At 49.9% G+C, this 16,752-nt stretch overlaps 1 protein-coding gene across 2 annotated transcripts in view, besides 3 other annotated features; it reads left to right on the forward strand.

Moving 5' to 3' along the window:
* The window catches only part of IGSF21 (immunoglobin superfamily member 21), a 270,686-nt gene that overhangs the window by 82,068 nt on the left and 171,866 nt on the right, over positions 1-16,752 (forward strand). The gene's annotated exons all lie outside the window — the stretch shown is intronic.
* Positions 9,389-9,889: an enhancer, noted in NCBI's record as "H3K4me1 hESC enhancer chr1:18525748-18526248 (GRCh37/hg19 assembly coordinates)". NCBI's record gives its function as "activates a minimal SCP1, AML or CMV promoter by ChIP-STARR-seq in primed H9 embryonic stem cells {active_cell/tissue: H9 hESC(primed)}" and the evidence as "EXISTENCE:reporter gene assay evidence [ECO:0000049][PMID:30033119]".
* Positions 9,890-10,390: an enhancer, noted in NCBI's record as "H3K4me1 hESC enhancer chr1:18526249-18526749 (GRCh37/hg19 assembly coordinates)". NCBI's record gives its function as "activates a minimal SCP1, AML or CMV promoter by ChIP-STARR-seq in primed H9 embryonic stem cells {active_cell/tissue: H9 hESC(primed)}" and the evidence as "EXISTENCE:reporter gene assay evidence [ECO:0000049][PMID:30033119]".
* Positions 11,059-11,559: an enhancer, noted in NCBI's record as "H3K27ac hESC enhancer chr1:18527418-18527918 (GRCh37/hg19 assembly coordinates)". NCBI's record gives its function as "activates a minimal SCP1, AML or CMV promoter by ChIP-STARR-seq in naive H9 embryonic stem cells {active_cell/tissue: H9 hESC(naive)}" and the evidence as "EXISTENCE:reporter gene assay evidence [ECO:0000049][PMID:30033119]".

The following is a 16,752-nucleotide window of genomic DNA, read 5'->3' on the forward strand; positions in this document are numbered from 1 at the left end:
TCCTCTGCCCTGGAGCCTTTACCCTTAGCCACTGCCCTTTGGTTGGCCCAACCAATGCCACTCCAGGCTTGTGGTATTAGGGAAGTGTATGGCTGCTGCAGGGGTGAGAAGTGGGGGCCGGTACCAGTCCATGGCCTGGGGGATGGGGACTCCTCCCTTGGTGGGCCACCCTCAGCCCTCTTCCTGGACAGAGACCCTGCTCACAGCTGATCCATGTCTGGGAATTGCCCTTGAAGGTCACCGCCAGACCCAAGGTGATGCTCTCCAGAGGTGGCCCCCATCTGTGCTGCTGGATGAGGACACAAAGCCCTGCCTCTTCCCTCAATTCAGGGAAAGCTGGTCTCAGCTTCAGAGCTCCCAGTGGATCCACAGCCAGCTCCCTCTTTGCCTGGTCTCCACTTTTCTGCAGAAGCTGTCTTGAGAGTACCGCAATCTCCTGCACACAGCTGTCTATCTCATGGTCTGTTTCCTAAGCATAGTTGTCCCTCTGCCCCTCCGATTCCATCTGTGAAATGGGAATGGAACACCTAGCCAGAGGTAGTCTGGAGGCAAGCATGCCAGTGTGCGTGTGATGTGTGCACAAGATTCCTGGCACACACTAAGTGTTCATAAATATTTGCCAAAATCCCTGCCAGGTCATCTGGAGCTGAGAAAGTCACAGAGAAGGGATTCTTCACCTCTATTCATCTGCAACGTGGGGCCGATAAGCCTGTCTTATGGGTCATTGTAAACTCTGCTGGGCAGTGCTGGGGACAGTGGGGGTGAGTGGTTCCTCCTCAGACTTCATCTCTGGTCCCTCTTTCTTTCCCTGCAGGGTGCTCAGTGAAAGCCCCGGGCAGAAGGCTGGCCACTTCTTTATCTCACAGGAGCCAGCCACTGGCCAGCTGTTATCGGGGATTTGTGAGCTTGTAAAACATGGCCAGCTATCACGCCATCTCCCCAGGGCACAGTGCTTTCTCGGCTGGGCCTAATCACCGGGTGATCTTGGCCTGTGATTGAGGGGAGAGCTGGGTTACCCTGGGAAGGCAGCAGCCAAGTCCTCTGGAAAAGGCTCGGGTGGGTGGAGGAGCTGGGGGGCATCAGGGCCAGGCCTGCTGGGGCTGACACATCGCTGGAATGGACCATGGCAGATTCCATGCCCCACTCTTCCTTCTTCTCTTCCCTGCAGGGAGATGGTAGAGTGTGGGGGGACCCTGCGAGGCTCCAGGGACCCAGAAGGAGATAATTCCAGAAAAAACATTCAGAACTGCATCAATGTCAGTGGCCCCCTCACCCATTCCTCGTTAAGCACCCACTCAGTGCCAGGCCCTCTGCTAGGCTATCCAAAGTGCTGGACTTTGCTGTGTGACCTCAGGCCAGTCACTTGCCCTCTCTGAGCCTCAAGTGTCCAATAGGAATAATAGTGCCCGTCTCACCAGGTTACTATGGGGATCCCTTGAGGCAGTGGATATGAAAGAATTGCCTTACAAACTGTGAAGTCCTGTGCCCATAAGGATGAGATCAAAGGATAAGCCTGCATGTGGATTACACACCTAGAGGAATGGCTTTAGAGGGATGAGGGACATCTCAGGGGGACCAGAGAAGGACTCCCGGAGCAGGAGATTATGTGAGGCTTTGCTGAAGACTCTGGGGGAAGGAGGGGTTGAAATAGAGAGGGCATTCCAGGCAAAGGGAATGGGATCCATACGGTCTGCTGGGCAGGGGATACACGGGGTGTGTATCCCCTGGCGCGGGAGCACACGGCTTGAGCTGTGTGGATCTGTGGCAGGCTTGCGGGTTGGGGAAGCCGGGCCCATCTGGCTCTGTTTTTCTGCTGTCATTTTGGATGCTTTTGTGCTGAATTCCCCTTTTGTCACTGTTTCCCTGCGATTTTCTTTTGAACCTGGCATCTGTTTGGGGCTTCATCCGGTCCCTGCCCCCTGCGTTCTGAGGCTCAGATCTGTTTGCAACCTGGGCATCTGCTCTTAGGGCAGTAGGTGGTTCCGGCTGCCTCAGCAGGTCTCAGAGCCAGGGTCCGGGATGGGTGGGGCAAGGGCAGATCTTTGTGGAAGGCGCTGGCCCTGCCTGACACAAACATGTGACATCTGCCCTCCTGAGAGTCCAGTAAGAAGCTTTCTTCCTCCCTCCAGCCCTCCTGGGCCGGGGAGGGCTGCCACGCTCTGTCATGCACACCTGTCTCCCCCACCAGGCTTCAGATGGCAGAAGAGCCCAGCCTTCCCCAGCACTGGCTTTGGAGCCACGCAAGCCTGGGTGGACTCTTGGCGCTGCATTTACCACGTAAGCATCCTGAGCTAAACCTCCAGAAGCCTCTGTTTCCTGCCTCTGTGAAATGGGGATCATGCTCCCACTTTGTAGTACCATAAGGATGCAACAAGATCAGTCTTGTCTAACACCTTCTTGCCTGTGGTCAGCAGACTGGGGCATGAACACGGCTCTGGGCCGGGTCTCTGGAGTCTGTATCTTGGTTCTTTCAAGGCATATTAGTGAATCTCTCCCTGTGCCTCAGTTTTCTCATCTGCAAGATGGGAATAAGACCTGCTTCATAGAATTAATGGAAGTACTCGAGTCTGTATATCTGCAACATACTTTGAGGGTGCCTGAGGCACAGTTAGCGCCATGTGGGTGCTCACATTGTCATCCCTACTGGTGTTGTCCTGTGACTTCACTGGGACCCATAGAGGGTAAGGCCATTGCCAGGCTTGCAGCTGGGCATACTGGGGACCACAAGGTTCAGCATATGCACCGGGATCCTATGGCTGAGCTAAGATTTGAGTCTGTGTGCTGAGGGCTGGAGAGCAGTGCAGAGGGGTGATCAGAAGGCCTGGGTTGGCATCGTTCCCCTGCAATGAATTATCTTGGTGGACAATAGCCAGTTGCTTCCATACTCTGAGTTTAATTTTGGTTTCCTTCTGCCAGAAAATTGGGATAATCTCCCTCCTGAAGTCTCTGTGAGAATTAAACAAGAAAATAAACGTGAATATCCTTTGAAAGACATAAAATGCAGTGGGCCGATTCAATTCGTTTATTCGACACATATTAATTGAATATCTACTAAGTGGGAAGTGCAGCCCTGGCGCTGAGGATCTGGGGTGAATAAGGCAACACTGGAATCCTGGTCCTCACAGGCCTTCACTCCAAATGGGCAGCAGGTAGCAACCCCCAAGCAGAGAGACAAGCACACCAAGTTCATGGGGCTGAGACAAGGGGAAAGAGAAGTGGCCCACAGGGAAGGGGGTGAGGGCTGTGTCCAGGGGCTTTTGAGGAAGGGCATTTGACACCGACAGCTGAGTGAAGAAAGAACAAGCCCAGACTTGTGGGGCCAGGGGTAGTAGGCAGAGGGAAGAGCAGCATAGAGGCCCCTGTGGAGAAAAGAGGCAGTGGGAGAGCCAGTGTGGCTGGAGCTGTGGTCAGGGGCCAGTGCTTACAGGGCCCTGTGGGCCAAATTCAGAATCTGGAATCTAGTCCAAGGGAGACGAGAACCATGGGAATCTGTATTAGCCAGGGTTCTCTAGAGGGACAGAATTAATGGAATATATATATATATATGAATTTATTAAGCATTAACTCACACGATCACAAGGTCCCACAATTGGCTGTCTGCAGGCTGAGGAGCCAGGAGTGCCAGTCTGAGTTCCAAAACAGAGGAACTTGGAGTCCTATGCTCGAGGGCAGGAAGCATCCAGCATGGGAGAAAGATGTAGGCTGGGAGTCTAGGCCAGTCTAACCTTTTCATGTTTTTCTGCCTGTTTTATATTTACTGGCAGCTGATTAGATGGTGCCCATCCAGATTAAGGGTGGGTCTGCCTTCCCCAGCCCACTGACTGAAATGTTAATCTCCTTTGGCAACACCCTCACAGACTCACCCAGGATTAATACTTTGCATCCTACAATCCAATCAAGTTGACACTCAGCATTGACCATCACAGAGGCTTTGGATGGGGCAGGGATGGACAGGGTGGGTGTTTGTCTATTATATGCTTATGTAACATACAAATATGGTTTAGCCTACAATGGAACAAGCTGAAGGGGAGTTTCCCCCTGAGTGTGTGTCTGTGTGTGTGCTGGATGCTGCCACACTTGAGGACATTCAGGAATCAGAAAAGGGTTGGACTAGTCAGCCTCAGTAAGCCCTGTGACCTGGAGATTCTGTGGTTTTATGAAGAAATGATCATGTGGGCTGTTTCCTAAGTCCCCAGAGAGTGAAAGAGTGAATGAGTGAATTTAGGATAATAGGAATTTAGGATGTGACTGGATGTGAGAGACGCTGGAGCAAACAGGTCAGTAGGGGAAGCCACTGGAATTCCCACTTCCACAAAACAGCAGTTCTCTGCTTTTGGTAAAGGGAAGAGAAAGGAGACCCTCCTACTGAGTTAAAAAGGGAGGAGAGCGAACATGTTTCATGCAGGTACCATGTGCAGGCTCTGTGCTGACCATTTTACAAACAATCCCCCTTTGACCCTTATTATCTTAGCTTCCTAGGGTGCTATGACAAATGATCATAGACTGGGTGGCTTAGAACAACAGAAATGTATTCCTTTGAAGTTTGGGGACTGGAAATCTGAGATCAAGGTGTCGGCAGGGCCATACTCTCTCTGAAGGCTCCAGAGGAGGATCCTTTCTGCCTCTTCCAGCTTCTGGTGGTTGCCAGAAATCTTGGTGTTCTTTGGTTTGTGGATGCCTTGCTCCAAGCTCTGCCTCTGTGGTCACACAGCCAACATCTTCCTGTGTGTCTCTGTCCCTTCTCTTCTTATTAAGACCCCAGTCATATTGGCTTTAGGGCTCACCCTCATCCAGTATGACTGCCTCTTAACTAATTACAACTGCAAAGACCTATTTCCAAATAAATTCACATTCTGATGTTCCAGGAGGACAGGGATGTTGTGGGGTTCACTAGTCAACCCAGGAGACCCACTCTTTTGACGGAGTGATAATGTCACCCTCTGTTCTCAGACTGCTAATAAAGACACACCCAAGACTGGGTAATTTATAAAGAAAGGAGGTTTAATGAGCTCATAGTTTCACATGGCCGAGGAGGCCTCACAATCATGGTGGAAGATGAATGAGGACCAAAGTCATGTCTTACATGGCAGCAGGCAAAAGACCTTGTGCAGGGGAATTCCCATTTATAAAACCATCAGCTCCCTTGAGACTTATTCACTGCCACAAGAACAGTATGGGTGGAACAGCCCCCATGATTCAATGATCTCCACCAGGCCATGCCCTTGACACATGGGGATTATTACAATTCAAGGTGAGATTTGGGTAGGGACACAGCCAAACCGTATCACGCCCCCACTTCACAGAGCATCCAGAAAGTAAAGAAACTTACTTAAGGCCACAGAGCTAGAAAGTAGCAAAGCTGGATTTGCACCCAAGAGCGTCTTTGATGAGAGTCTTCACTCACTCTACACAGCCAAGCTGTCTCCAGGGGATGGAATGTCATGCCAGCCTCGGAACAGCACAGGGAACTTGGGGTGCTCTGGGTGCCATCGATGGATTATAACGGCTGGAGCAGGCATGGAGACAGGTCAGTTGAAATGAAGTTGGAATGAGGATCAGAACAGGCTTGGAGGGGCAGAGGAACCCCTTCTTCCTCTTCCTTCTTCTCCACTTTCTGGAACCTTCTGAACCTAGCACAGAGACCACCATCCTCTAACACCTTCCCAGATTCCCCGGCTCTGTGTGAATGTGTTCCCTTGCTCTGAGCTGCCCAGCCCTGTTGTCTGTGCCTCTCTGGAATGAATTCCATTCTCTTTGCACCTGGCGTTCTCTTTGGACCTCCTCAAGACCAGGGCTTGCTCTTTTCTCCTGCATTCCCTGCACCTAACACAGGCAGCGGCACACAACAGCTACACTGCGGATTCACTGATTCCACAGGAGTTTTTAAACACAATTATGTGTTCAAAGCAGAAAACACAGACCGGAATGAAATGAAAGACAGTCTGGTGGGGACCAAGACTCATAAACAGATGCTGGTCCCTAGGGCAGTGCATGGCAATAGTAGAGCCCAGAGAGAAGCCTGGTCCAGACTATGGTATGGGAGGGAGGCAGAGAAGGCTTCCCGGAAGAGGCAGCAGCCAGCGCAAGTGGCAGGTGCAGAGCCCTTGGGCAAAAGCGAGAGCTCAGCCTTCTGGAACTGCAAGCAGCTTGGTGATGCTGGGGGGTTGTGTGCAGAGAGACTTGGGAAGGGAAAATGTTGATGGAGAGGTCCACATGAAGAGGCTGGGGCTTCATCCTGGGGTATCCCTTCTCTTGAGATTGACAGTAGGGTTGAGGAGGATTTGAAGAGTTTAATCAGGGGGCTGAATGTGGTCGGATCTCTGTCAGATATCCAGAGGCTGGAGGCAGGGAGGCCGGGGAGGATGCCACCTTATAATCCCCGAGAAAGATGCCAGCAGGCTGAATGGATTTGGGGTTACAGGGAAGGGAGGAGTAATTTGGGTTATTACTAAATGCTCGTTGAGCTGGATTCTGTATTGACCTGCAGGACTCCATCTGACCTAATGGCAGGGAGGAGAGGCCATGCCTTGGATACTTCCTGAGTCCCTGCAGGGCGCGTCTGCAGAATCCAAGTGTGCAGTGTGCAGCCAAGAGCTCAACAACCAACATACTTAGATGTCAGCAGGAGAGCCCAGGGTCTGTCCTCACTGCCAAAGCTTAGCAGGGGGCTCCACAGGGTCCTGAAGGTACCCCCTGAAAAATTATCCGTGTCAAGGCTGACCTTTATTGAGCACTGTCTAGTTGACAGAGTCTGTTAGAAGTGCTCTGTTTTATCTCATCAGAGCCACATAATGGCCCCATGAGGTGGTGCTCTTCTTATATCTGTTTGATAGACGAAGAAACTGAGGCTCCAAGCAGGGAAGTGACTTGCCCAAGGTCACAACCCTAGGCAGTGACGGAGCTGGGACTTGAACACATGATCTTGAGCCTCTCAAGCCCAGGCCTCTGCTGCCACCTCTGGAAGATGCTGTTTTCCCAGGAAGGTGATATCTCCAGTAAGACACCCTTCTATGCAAGCCACAGAGACAAGTGGGGGAGCCGCCCCGTGCCCCTGTCCAGATGAGTGAAGGAAGACGGACGAGCTGGCTTCCTCTCTTTTCCCGGCTTCCCGGTACCAAGTATATATTTTTTCTAATCGGCCCGGCTGCTGATGGTTATCTGGCTTCGCTAGAGAGCGAAAGAGACTTTGTGTCAAATGCTGAAAAATGACTTTTCAGGCAGCCTCTCTGTCTCCTGAAAGGAGGTGACGTGCTCAGAGCATACAAATCACTCAGCATTCGGGTGTCTCGATGCGAGGAAGGAGTGTGTTTGGATTGCTAAAGCCACTCCTGTCCCTTCACAAGGTCATGGGCGGGCAACCCAGTCTTGTCAGTGCCTGGAGAGCAGAGAAGCCTGGTGCTGAGAGGTGCTGTGGCCCCCAGATGGCAAGCCTGTGGGGTGTCTGGACCCAGGAGGGGTCCCTTGGATGCACAAGGTACAAGAGTCCAAGAGGGAGGCTGACCTCGGATTCTAGGTCTCCATCAGCCCACAGTAAGCTGTGTGACCTTGGATAAGTTACTTAACTTTTCTGGTCCTTGGAAATCTCGCTCCATAATTATCATCCCACAAATGCTGTTTTCAGCTAAGCCATTCACCCTGCTGGATGTTCTAATAACTGCATTTGTCTGGTGCTGACAAATCCTCAGTGATTCCCAGGCAGCAGAAACTTGCCTGGTACCTACAGAGAAGTCACTGGGTGTGAAGGACAAAGGCAGACGTTGGAATGCTCCAGAGAGGGCCTTGAATCCAGGCTCTGGAGGCAGCCTGTGGGTTCAAACCTTGGCTCTGCCACTCAACAGCTGGGTGACCTTGGGTATGTGACTTTATCTATCTGAGCCTAAGTTTCCTCATCTATCAACTGGGGAAATAACCAAGACTACCTCATATTGGGGCTATGGTGAAAGCCAAGGGCTTAGAATGATGCCTGGAACAAGAGTAAGTCTTCAGCCAGTGTCAGCTCCTGTCACTGTGACTGTGTCTTAGCTGTGCTGACGTGGCCACTGGCTTCTATAAGAATCCAGTGGATTCTTGGAAAGGTGTCGTAACCTCTCCAAGGCTTGGTTTCTTCATCTGTGTAGAGGGGATGGGGATTTAAAAATTCAATGTGCTTAAAATGCTTGGCACACAGCAGTTTCTTAATCACTTGTAGACATTTCTCTGGCTCTTTGCAGAAAGATATTTTAAATAAAATTTCAGTTTTCAAGTGTATCTGATATTTTGCAATCCTTTGAAAATTTATAAAGATGATGTACACAGTATAATCTGTCTCGAAGTGAACACGGGGTTGACTGGACAATGCCATTTTCTGAGTGGCCATACCAGAGTAAGAGCCCACTGGAGATCAGAACTTGGGGGAGAGTGCCCAGAGCCAGCTCCAGGGAGTAGGACCTGCCCAAGTCATAAGTGGCAGCTCTGGGTCCTGCCTGCCTCTCTTCCTGAGATGCCATTTATAGCTGCCGGGACCCACATGGGCCCGTAGGGTGGCCCTGCCCATGCAGAGAGGGGAGCAGCTGTCATTGTAAGAACTGAGTGAGCCCAGGAGCCAGGCTCCCAGGGTGCCAAGGGATCGTCGTCATTCATCTCCCCCGTTTTTATTTTCTTCACTATAAAGCATAGAAAAACCACGTAGCCAGACCTTAAAAAATACAGACGGTCTCCAGATGAGTCTGTGATGTTAGGCAAGGCCTGCCAGGCGCTTTCTTAATGCTGTAATAAAACTGGCTGGGGAAAAACTCTAAAATTACGGAGGAGGCCGGCAGTATAAAATGTATGGGATCAAGAGAGAGAGAGAGAGCAGAGTATTGCAGCAGTTCCACACTGGGCCCCAGGTGGAACTGGGCTGGGTCATCCGATGGCAGAGTGACGCCACTTCTGTCACCACCCCCCTGGCCCTACTTTACTGCTGGGGTGTTTTGAGGATCTAATAAGGTCGTGGGAGTAATAGGCTTTGTTATTTACAAATAATTCGAATAAAAGGACAATAGGAAGACCTCTCCCCTGCCCCCTCTGCCCAGATGCCCCCCCAAAGCAAGACTTCTTGATGGTGGCAGGTTCCATGGGCCAGATGAGGGTGGCCCCCTGGGACTCTCTGTCTTTCTCCCCTGCCCATCTCACTGGTCCCCCTTCCCCAGCGGGCCTTGGACTGGGGTGCTTTGGTGCCCGTAAATGGGTTGAATGAATTAGGCCCATGTCCTTCTAAAGCAAACTTTTAAAAAATACTCAGTTTTGCAAGGCCCCCCGGTACATTAAACAGATAGAAGGGAGGGTGGCTCTGGTGAATAAAGAGTGGGTTGGGGCCCCTGCACCCATCAGTGGCGTGCCCTGAGTTCAAATACTGTCCCTGCCACTCACCACCCAGGGGATGTGTTTCAGTGTTTCGACCTCTCCCAGCCTCTATCGCATCATCTGTAAAATGAGGATAGTGCTAGAACTCACCTCTCATGGTGGAGATTCAGTAAGACAAAAGATGCACCTGGCTCAGAGTAAACTCCTCAGATATCCCCATTACAACAACGGCTACTGTGATTTGACTGCTGTTGGATACACGGACATCCAGGCGCCCCTCGGATCCTGGGCACCGGCTCTTGAAGTGCCCTCACAGAGGCCCTGTCAATCCAGGCATCCGACTCCACAGTTCTCAGCTTCCCAGCCCTGGTGACTCCACTGCCTCCTCTTTGGCCATCTGCATGTGCGTGATGGGAAGCTGTGCCTGTGCCTCTCCTCGGTGGCTGCGGTAATAGAGCCCAGAGTGAGCAGGTGGCAGCCCCCCTCCCCCTTCCCTGGTCTCCCTCCCTCCCTATCTCTCACCTCGGCTGCAAAGCTCCGACTTTATTTAATCGCTTCCATTGTCTGCTCCACGCCTGGTAATCTCAGCTGGGAACACATGTTAACAAATGGGCAAAGTTTTATCGGGAGCTCAGAGCCCCTCCCCGCTTCGTCAGATAAGGTGCTCTTGCTTGGGGGCTCACACTAGGGAAGCTGCTCCCGGCCCCCCCCTACCCCCGTGAGAATCCATCCCTAGGCAATTGCATTGTGTGAGCAGGGTAACAGGAGGGATGGGTAGGAGCGGGTCCAAGGGGGCTCTGGGGATCCAGACAAAGACCCCAAGCCCCTGCTCCTTCCCCACTCATGGGTTCTGCTGCTTCTCCTGCTGGCTGGAAGACCCTTGAGATTCTGCCCATTGTGGGACAGTGGGAAGGCTTGCCTTAGTTCTTGGTTCACATCCGGGCTCTTGCGTCTTCCCAACTGCATGATGGTCACTTCCATTCTCTGCATCTTGGTCACCTCGGTTATAAAATAAGAAACAAGCCTATCTGTCTCCTGACAAAGAGAGTTTAAGTGAGGTTATGTGAGTGAAATTATCTAGGGAAATGCCTGGGGCTTAGTAGGTAGACAGCGCCCCCCTTTGCTTCCTACCTGAATTAGTTTCCTAGGACTGCTGTAACAGTGACTTAAAACAGCAGAAGTTATTGTTTCACACTTCTGGAGGCTAGAAGTCCAAGATCGAGGTGTGGGTGGGCCACACTCCCTCTGATTCCTGCAGGGAATAATCCATCCTGGTGCCTTCCTAGCTGCTGGTGGCTGCTGCAATTCTTGGTGTTTGGTGTTCCTGGGCTTGTGCCTGCATCCCTCCGGTCTCTGCCTCTGCCATCACGTGGCCTGCTCCCTCTGTGTCTGCTTCTGTGTCCAAATTCCGCTCTTCTTATAAGAACATTATATTCAATTCGGGCCCTTCTTCATCTTAACTTGATTATGTCTGCAAAGACCCTATTTCCAAATGAGGCCACAGTTACAGGTGTAGGGCTTAGGATTTCAATGTATCTTTTAGAGGGATATAGCTCACCCTACAATGCTACCTTTTGGCTAAGTCTTCCTAACTTGAGTGGCCGGGATCCACGTTGCCCTTGGATCAGCCTCTGTCACTGAGCTGACCCTGCTTTGAGTTTCACGTGATTTATGTCGTTGATTTTACCCCAGCCCCATGAGGAGGGATAATGAGGAGGGGTCCACCTTTGCTCTTCTGCTGCGCTATCCTGTTCTGTGCTAGGGATGGATGTAAACAGATAATAGTGTTTACATGAGACAGGGGCCACACTAGGGAGATAAGCATTTATGGAAGCAAAGATAGTGTCCCTTTCTCACTAAGTGGAAGTGAAAATAGGAAGGCTCTCGAGAGACCCACTGAGCTGGTCCTGGAAGGGTAAAGAAGGCATTCTGGGTAGAGGAAGGAGCTTGAGCTGGGGACTGGAGGAAGGAGCGCCCCTGAGCTGTCTCAGCATGGGTGAGCAGCCCTGGGAGACTGAGTCAGGGACTGAGCGCGTGCTCAGGGAAGGATGGAGCTCCCTGGAGGTCAGGCTTTAAGGGCAGCCGGGCTGACACTCAGAATGGCCAGGCTAAGAAGTGCAGACTTGATTGTGCCAGCACTGGGGAGCCAGTGAAGATTGTGGAACTGAGACATGGTAGGAGCAGAATCGTGGCTCCAAGGGCTAATCCAGCAGCAAACACATTTCAAAGTTTTTGCTGAAGGAAAGCCTCACCACGGAGGGACACAACGAGCACTGGAATTTCAAGGAGCTGTGGAAGTCTATCATCCAGAAATTCCCCAGAGGAACCTCTAGCCTGGCTGGATGGACAGCACCCATGTCAACTCAGCCTCCTGGTCCTGATTCCTCCTTCACGCTGGTGAGGGACACCAGGCATGGCCCCAGGATATCTGGGAGCTGGGACCCACCTGCTCTCCCTTCTAAGGGAAATAGCAAGGAACAGGTATCTCTGGACTTTGCCTCCTCTGCCCTCTCATTGGGGTGTGTGTCGGGGGGTCTGTCCGTTACTGGCATCCCTCTCCCATCCCATGCCGAAGATTTTGACCTTTATAGCCAAGTCTGAGCTGTACTGATAGAACATCCACAAAGTCAACAGTGGGAAGGTTCCACAGGCCCAAGCATCCCTTCCTGTGCCTTACAAGTGGAATCATTTATTTCTGTCCTCTAATCTTGATTAAACCCATCTGAAAATAAGTTAGATATCAAATCTGTGATTTCAGTCCTCCCTCCGTTCCTGACCCTCTTCTCCCTCTAGTTGCCCCAAAAGTGGCCAGTTTTGTTCAGGAGAGCACCAAGCACTTGGAAAATTCCATTCCCAGCCTTCCCAGCTCATTTCTGCTTCCACGCACCCTGCTGCCTCCTGACAGTCTCACTTTTAACTCTATTTACATTCTGGAAAGTACATAAGATTTTTATCATGTACTTTCCTAATGTCAATTTTCCCCTGATGAGAATAAGGCTGTAAACACCCATATTTTCATAAGCCTGTTATAGTCCTCCATGTATTCAAAGTCGATGAGCAATGCAATCTCACATTCTCAGGGCTGGCTGGGACTGGCACAGGAGGACGGCTCAAGGCAAACTCTGGGAGCCAAACTCCTAGGTGTCTTCTTTGTCTTTCCTTGGGTTACCACCTTCATTACTTTTGGGGGCCCTTCTTTTATGCCTAAATCTGGGTGTTCCTTCTTTTTCACACTGCTATAAAGAAATACTCAAGACTAGGTAACTTATACAGGGAAGAAGTTTAATTGACTCACAGTTCCTCATGGCTGAGGAGGCCTCAGAAAACTTACAATCATGGCAGAAGGCCAAGGAGAAGCAAGCACCTTCTTCACAGGGTGGCAGGAGAAAGAGAGAGAGAGAGAGAGAGAGCCAAGGGGGAAGAGCTATTTGTGAAACCATCAGATCTCATGAGAACTCACTCACTATCATGAGAACAGTATGGGGGAAACCGGCCCCATAATCCCATCACCTCCCACCAGGTCCTTCCCTTGATACGTGGGGATTACAGGTTGAGATGAGACTTGGGTGGGGACACAAAGCCAAACCATATCAATCAGTATATCTATTTTTGGTTGGAACCATCAAAACCTGCTAGACTACTCTTAAGCTGTGGGAATGGACAAACACCAAAAATGGCATCCAGAGAAGGCACAGACTATGCATCCCCTAAACCTTGTTATCCCAGGGAAAGGTGCCATGGGCCTGGTCCATTAGACCCATCCCAGTCTTGGCTTTGGGTGAGGGACACCATTCGTGACACTCTACACACTTCTAAGGAAGTTGGGAGTGGCCAGGCTGCATCAGGCTAGCTGGGTAACACTGGGATTTGCAAGCCCCTGAGCCTCTGGGTGGTTGAGTGGGCTTTCTCTAGAGGACATCACAACTCAGTTACTGAGACGTTTTCTTATCAATCTAGTTTTACTGAAACCTCATGGTCCTTCCTGCTGAGCCCACTTGTTGCAAGGCTAGGTGGGGAAAGGCTCCAGGGATGCTGCAACAAGCAGGTCTTTGCCTCCTCAAGTCTAGGGACATGACTGGCTCCACCTCTGGCCCTTGATAACTAATTGTTTTTGTTTTGTTTTGTTTTGTGTTGTTTGAGACCGAGTCTCCCTCTGTCGCCAAGGCTGGAGTGCAGTGGCGCGATCTTGGCTCACTGTAGCCACCGCCATCCAGGTTCAAGCGATTCTTGTGCCTCAGCCTCCTCAGTAGCTGAGACTACAGGTGCATGCCGCCACACCTGGCTAGGTTTTGTATTTTTAGTAGAGACAGGGTTTCACCATGTTGGCCAGGTTGGCCTTGAACTCTTGACCTCAAGTGATCTGCCCGCCTCAGCTTCCCAAAGTGCTGGGATTACAGGCGTGAGCCACCGTGACCAGCCCCTTGATAACTAATTGTTAATGAATGAATGAATGACTGTTTGTATATCCTTGAATCTGAAGTCACTTCATTCACCAGAATGAGAGCAGCAGAGTCTGCTATGAAGGGGAACAGGTGGGGTGGGGGCGAGGGTGGTCAGAATCCTGCCTCCAGTATTAGTTCTTTCTAAGCCTGGGGTCAGCACATTTTCCTGTAAAGAGCTAGATGGTAAACATTTTAGGCTTTGTAGTCCACAGGGCAAAATCGAAACTGTTATGTGGGTATTTGTATATCATTTAAAATGTAACTATTTATAAATATGCAAATCATTCTTAGCTGGTGGGTCCTACAGAAACAGGCTGGCCAAGATTTGATCTGGGGCCATCGCTTGCCGAGAGCTGTTCTAAGCCTTGTTTCCTTTATCTGTAAGATGTGACCAACCTCTGTTTCTGAGGGTGGTTGTGGGTATTCCATACACCAGACAGAATGTGCCTGGCAGCGCTTAGCACATGGTAACACCATAATCCTAAAAGCCCTATGGGATGGAGGGCTTACTCCCAGGCACTCCTCTGAGAATATGAACTCATAAGCTCCTCTGACCCCATAACATAGGTACTGTTCGGTCTCCATTTTACAGATGAAGAAACTGAGCCTTAGAACGATGCAGTCATTTGCCCAAAGTTACATGTTGGTTAAATGGCAGAGCTGGGATTTGAACACAGGGACTCAGACTTCAGAGCCTGTGCTCGCAACTTCAGTGATCAGCAGCTGCAGTAGTCATTGTTGCTGCTGTTAATTATCCTTCTCAGGGATCCAAAGGAATCTAAAACGAGCCAGGACAGGAACACTGCCAGAAAATGGATGATACAAAAATCTTCCTTCTTTGAGTGTGGCGTGCGCTGCTTGGTTTTATTTGGCCACCAGTTCACCTCTTGGGTTACCATGGCTTGAATCTGTTGGTTTGACGTCTCTGAATGTGTGCTCAGAGGTGGAGGGGAGATGAAGGGGAGAGGGGCTAGAGAAGGCTAGGTCAAGTAGGAGGGCCATCCAGTTTACAAACACACAAGGCAGTGTGTGTCTGATCTCCCTTGGAGCATGACAGCTGGCTTCTCTCAGTCCTGGAAAGAGAGATTTAGGTTGGGCAGGAGCAGGAACTAGAGAAACATCCTGAGAATGGATCACATTCAATTCATGACCTGGTTTTAGCCCAGAGGCAGGGGGATGACTGAGTTGACCTTTCAGGGCTACATCCTGTCTTCCTGTTGGGCTTGGGAGTTTATGACTTGCAGAGAAAAACTACTCCATAGGTACAAATACCTTCCTTACAGTTCAGGTGTTCAAAACTCCCTTTTCGTTTTTTGTTTAAAATAAACTGATGTTGGACACACAGCCTCTGAGAGGATTTCCAAAAACTCCTGGAAAAGTTTTAGATCGTTATCATGTAGGACAGAGAGGGATTACATTTACATGTCAAAAGATGCAAAGGCCACAGAGTCCTGCTAAAAAGTTGATGGGGAGAGAGAGGAATGGGGGAGAGAAGAAAGATAAGAAGGGGAGAGAGAGAGAGAGAGAGAAAGAGAGAGGGAGAGGAGAGAGGAGGAGAGAGAGAATTCTGCAATATTAACCATGGCTTTCTCTGTGTAGTGGTTTATGGGAGAAGATTTTTGTTTTTTTATGATTACCTGGGTTATTTTTTATTTTCTACAATAAACATATATGATTCTTGAAATCACCAGAGAGAGATGTCATTAAAGATTAAAATATTGATAAGAGTGGGTCTGTGCCTCTTCTTCCAGAGCCAGGTAGGAGTAGGAAGCTACCTTTCCAGCGAGAAAAATCATCCTGTTTGTACAGGACACGTTTGTCATCCGGTGTTTCCTTGACTCCCTCTTATCTTGCTGACAAGGAGAAGGATGGAAAAGGGACTGTGATCGAGTGAGGCCCACGGAGCATGACTCAAACAACCCATTGTGAAGGAGGGTAATCGCAGAATCAGCTTTGGAAATCAAATAAAATGCCATGTCTTGTAGCCAAGAGACACTGCCCAAGCGTTTGATTTTAAGCTCAGCTGAAACCCTGGAGTCTGTCTTGAACTGGGAGGAGGACTGACTCAAGGTGGGACTAAGGTGATCTATATGAAGAATTCTAATAAAAATGTAGATTGGAATCAGACTTAGGAGAAATTGTGAATGATAACTGTCAGGGATTCGTGAGAAAGATTCAAAATTCTACCTACGGGGTTCTTTTAAATGCTTGCCCTGTATGATGATCTCTTTTAATGCTATGTTACAGAATGGTTGGGTTGATGTGTCATTTTCAAGAAGCAGTAGAAAGCACTTAACACTATGCCTACCTCATCATAGGCCTTATAAAATGTCAACAATTCCTGGATACTGTTTCTTCTGCTGGACACACTACAGTGAACAAAATAGACAAAACCCATCCCCTCATGGGGCTGACATTCTAGTCAAGGGGTAGATAAATTTTAAATATGGTGTCAGGCAAAGATGTAGTGCTGTAACAAATAAAGCAATTTTCAGGATAGAGAGAGAGGTTAGCTGGGAATTTTAGAGCATTTGAGACTGGGTAGTCAAGGCTTCTGTGGGTTATGACATTGAACAGAGACCAGAGCAAAGTGAACGAGCAAGCCATGTGCACAGCTGGCTCAAATGTGTTCTGGGGCTGGGTGCCGTGGCTCATGCCTGCAATCCCAGCACTTTGGGAGGCTAAGGTGGGAGTATTGCTTGAGCCCAGTAGTTCATGACTAGCCTGGGCAACATAATGACACCCTCATCTCTACAAGCAATAAAAAATTAATTGGGTGTGGTGGTGCATGCCTGTAATCCCAGCTACTGGGGAGGCTGAGGTGGGAGGATTGCTTGAGCCCACGAGTTCAAGGCTGCGGCGAGCCATGATCGCACCACTGCATTCTGGCCTAGGTAATAGAGTGAGACCCCGTCTCAAAAAAAAAAAAAAAAAGAGTGTTCTAGGAAGATGGAACAGTAAGTGCAAAGACCTTGGTGTGGGAATG

Source organism: Homo sapiens, chromosome 1 (assembly GCF_000001405.40).
Source record: "Homo sapiens chromosome 1, GRCh38.p14 Primary Assembly".
NCBI lineage: Eukaryota > Metazoa > Chordata > Mammalia > Primates > Hominidae > Homo > Homo sapiens.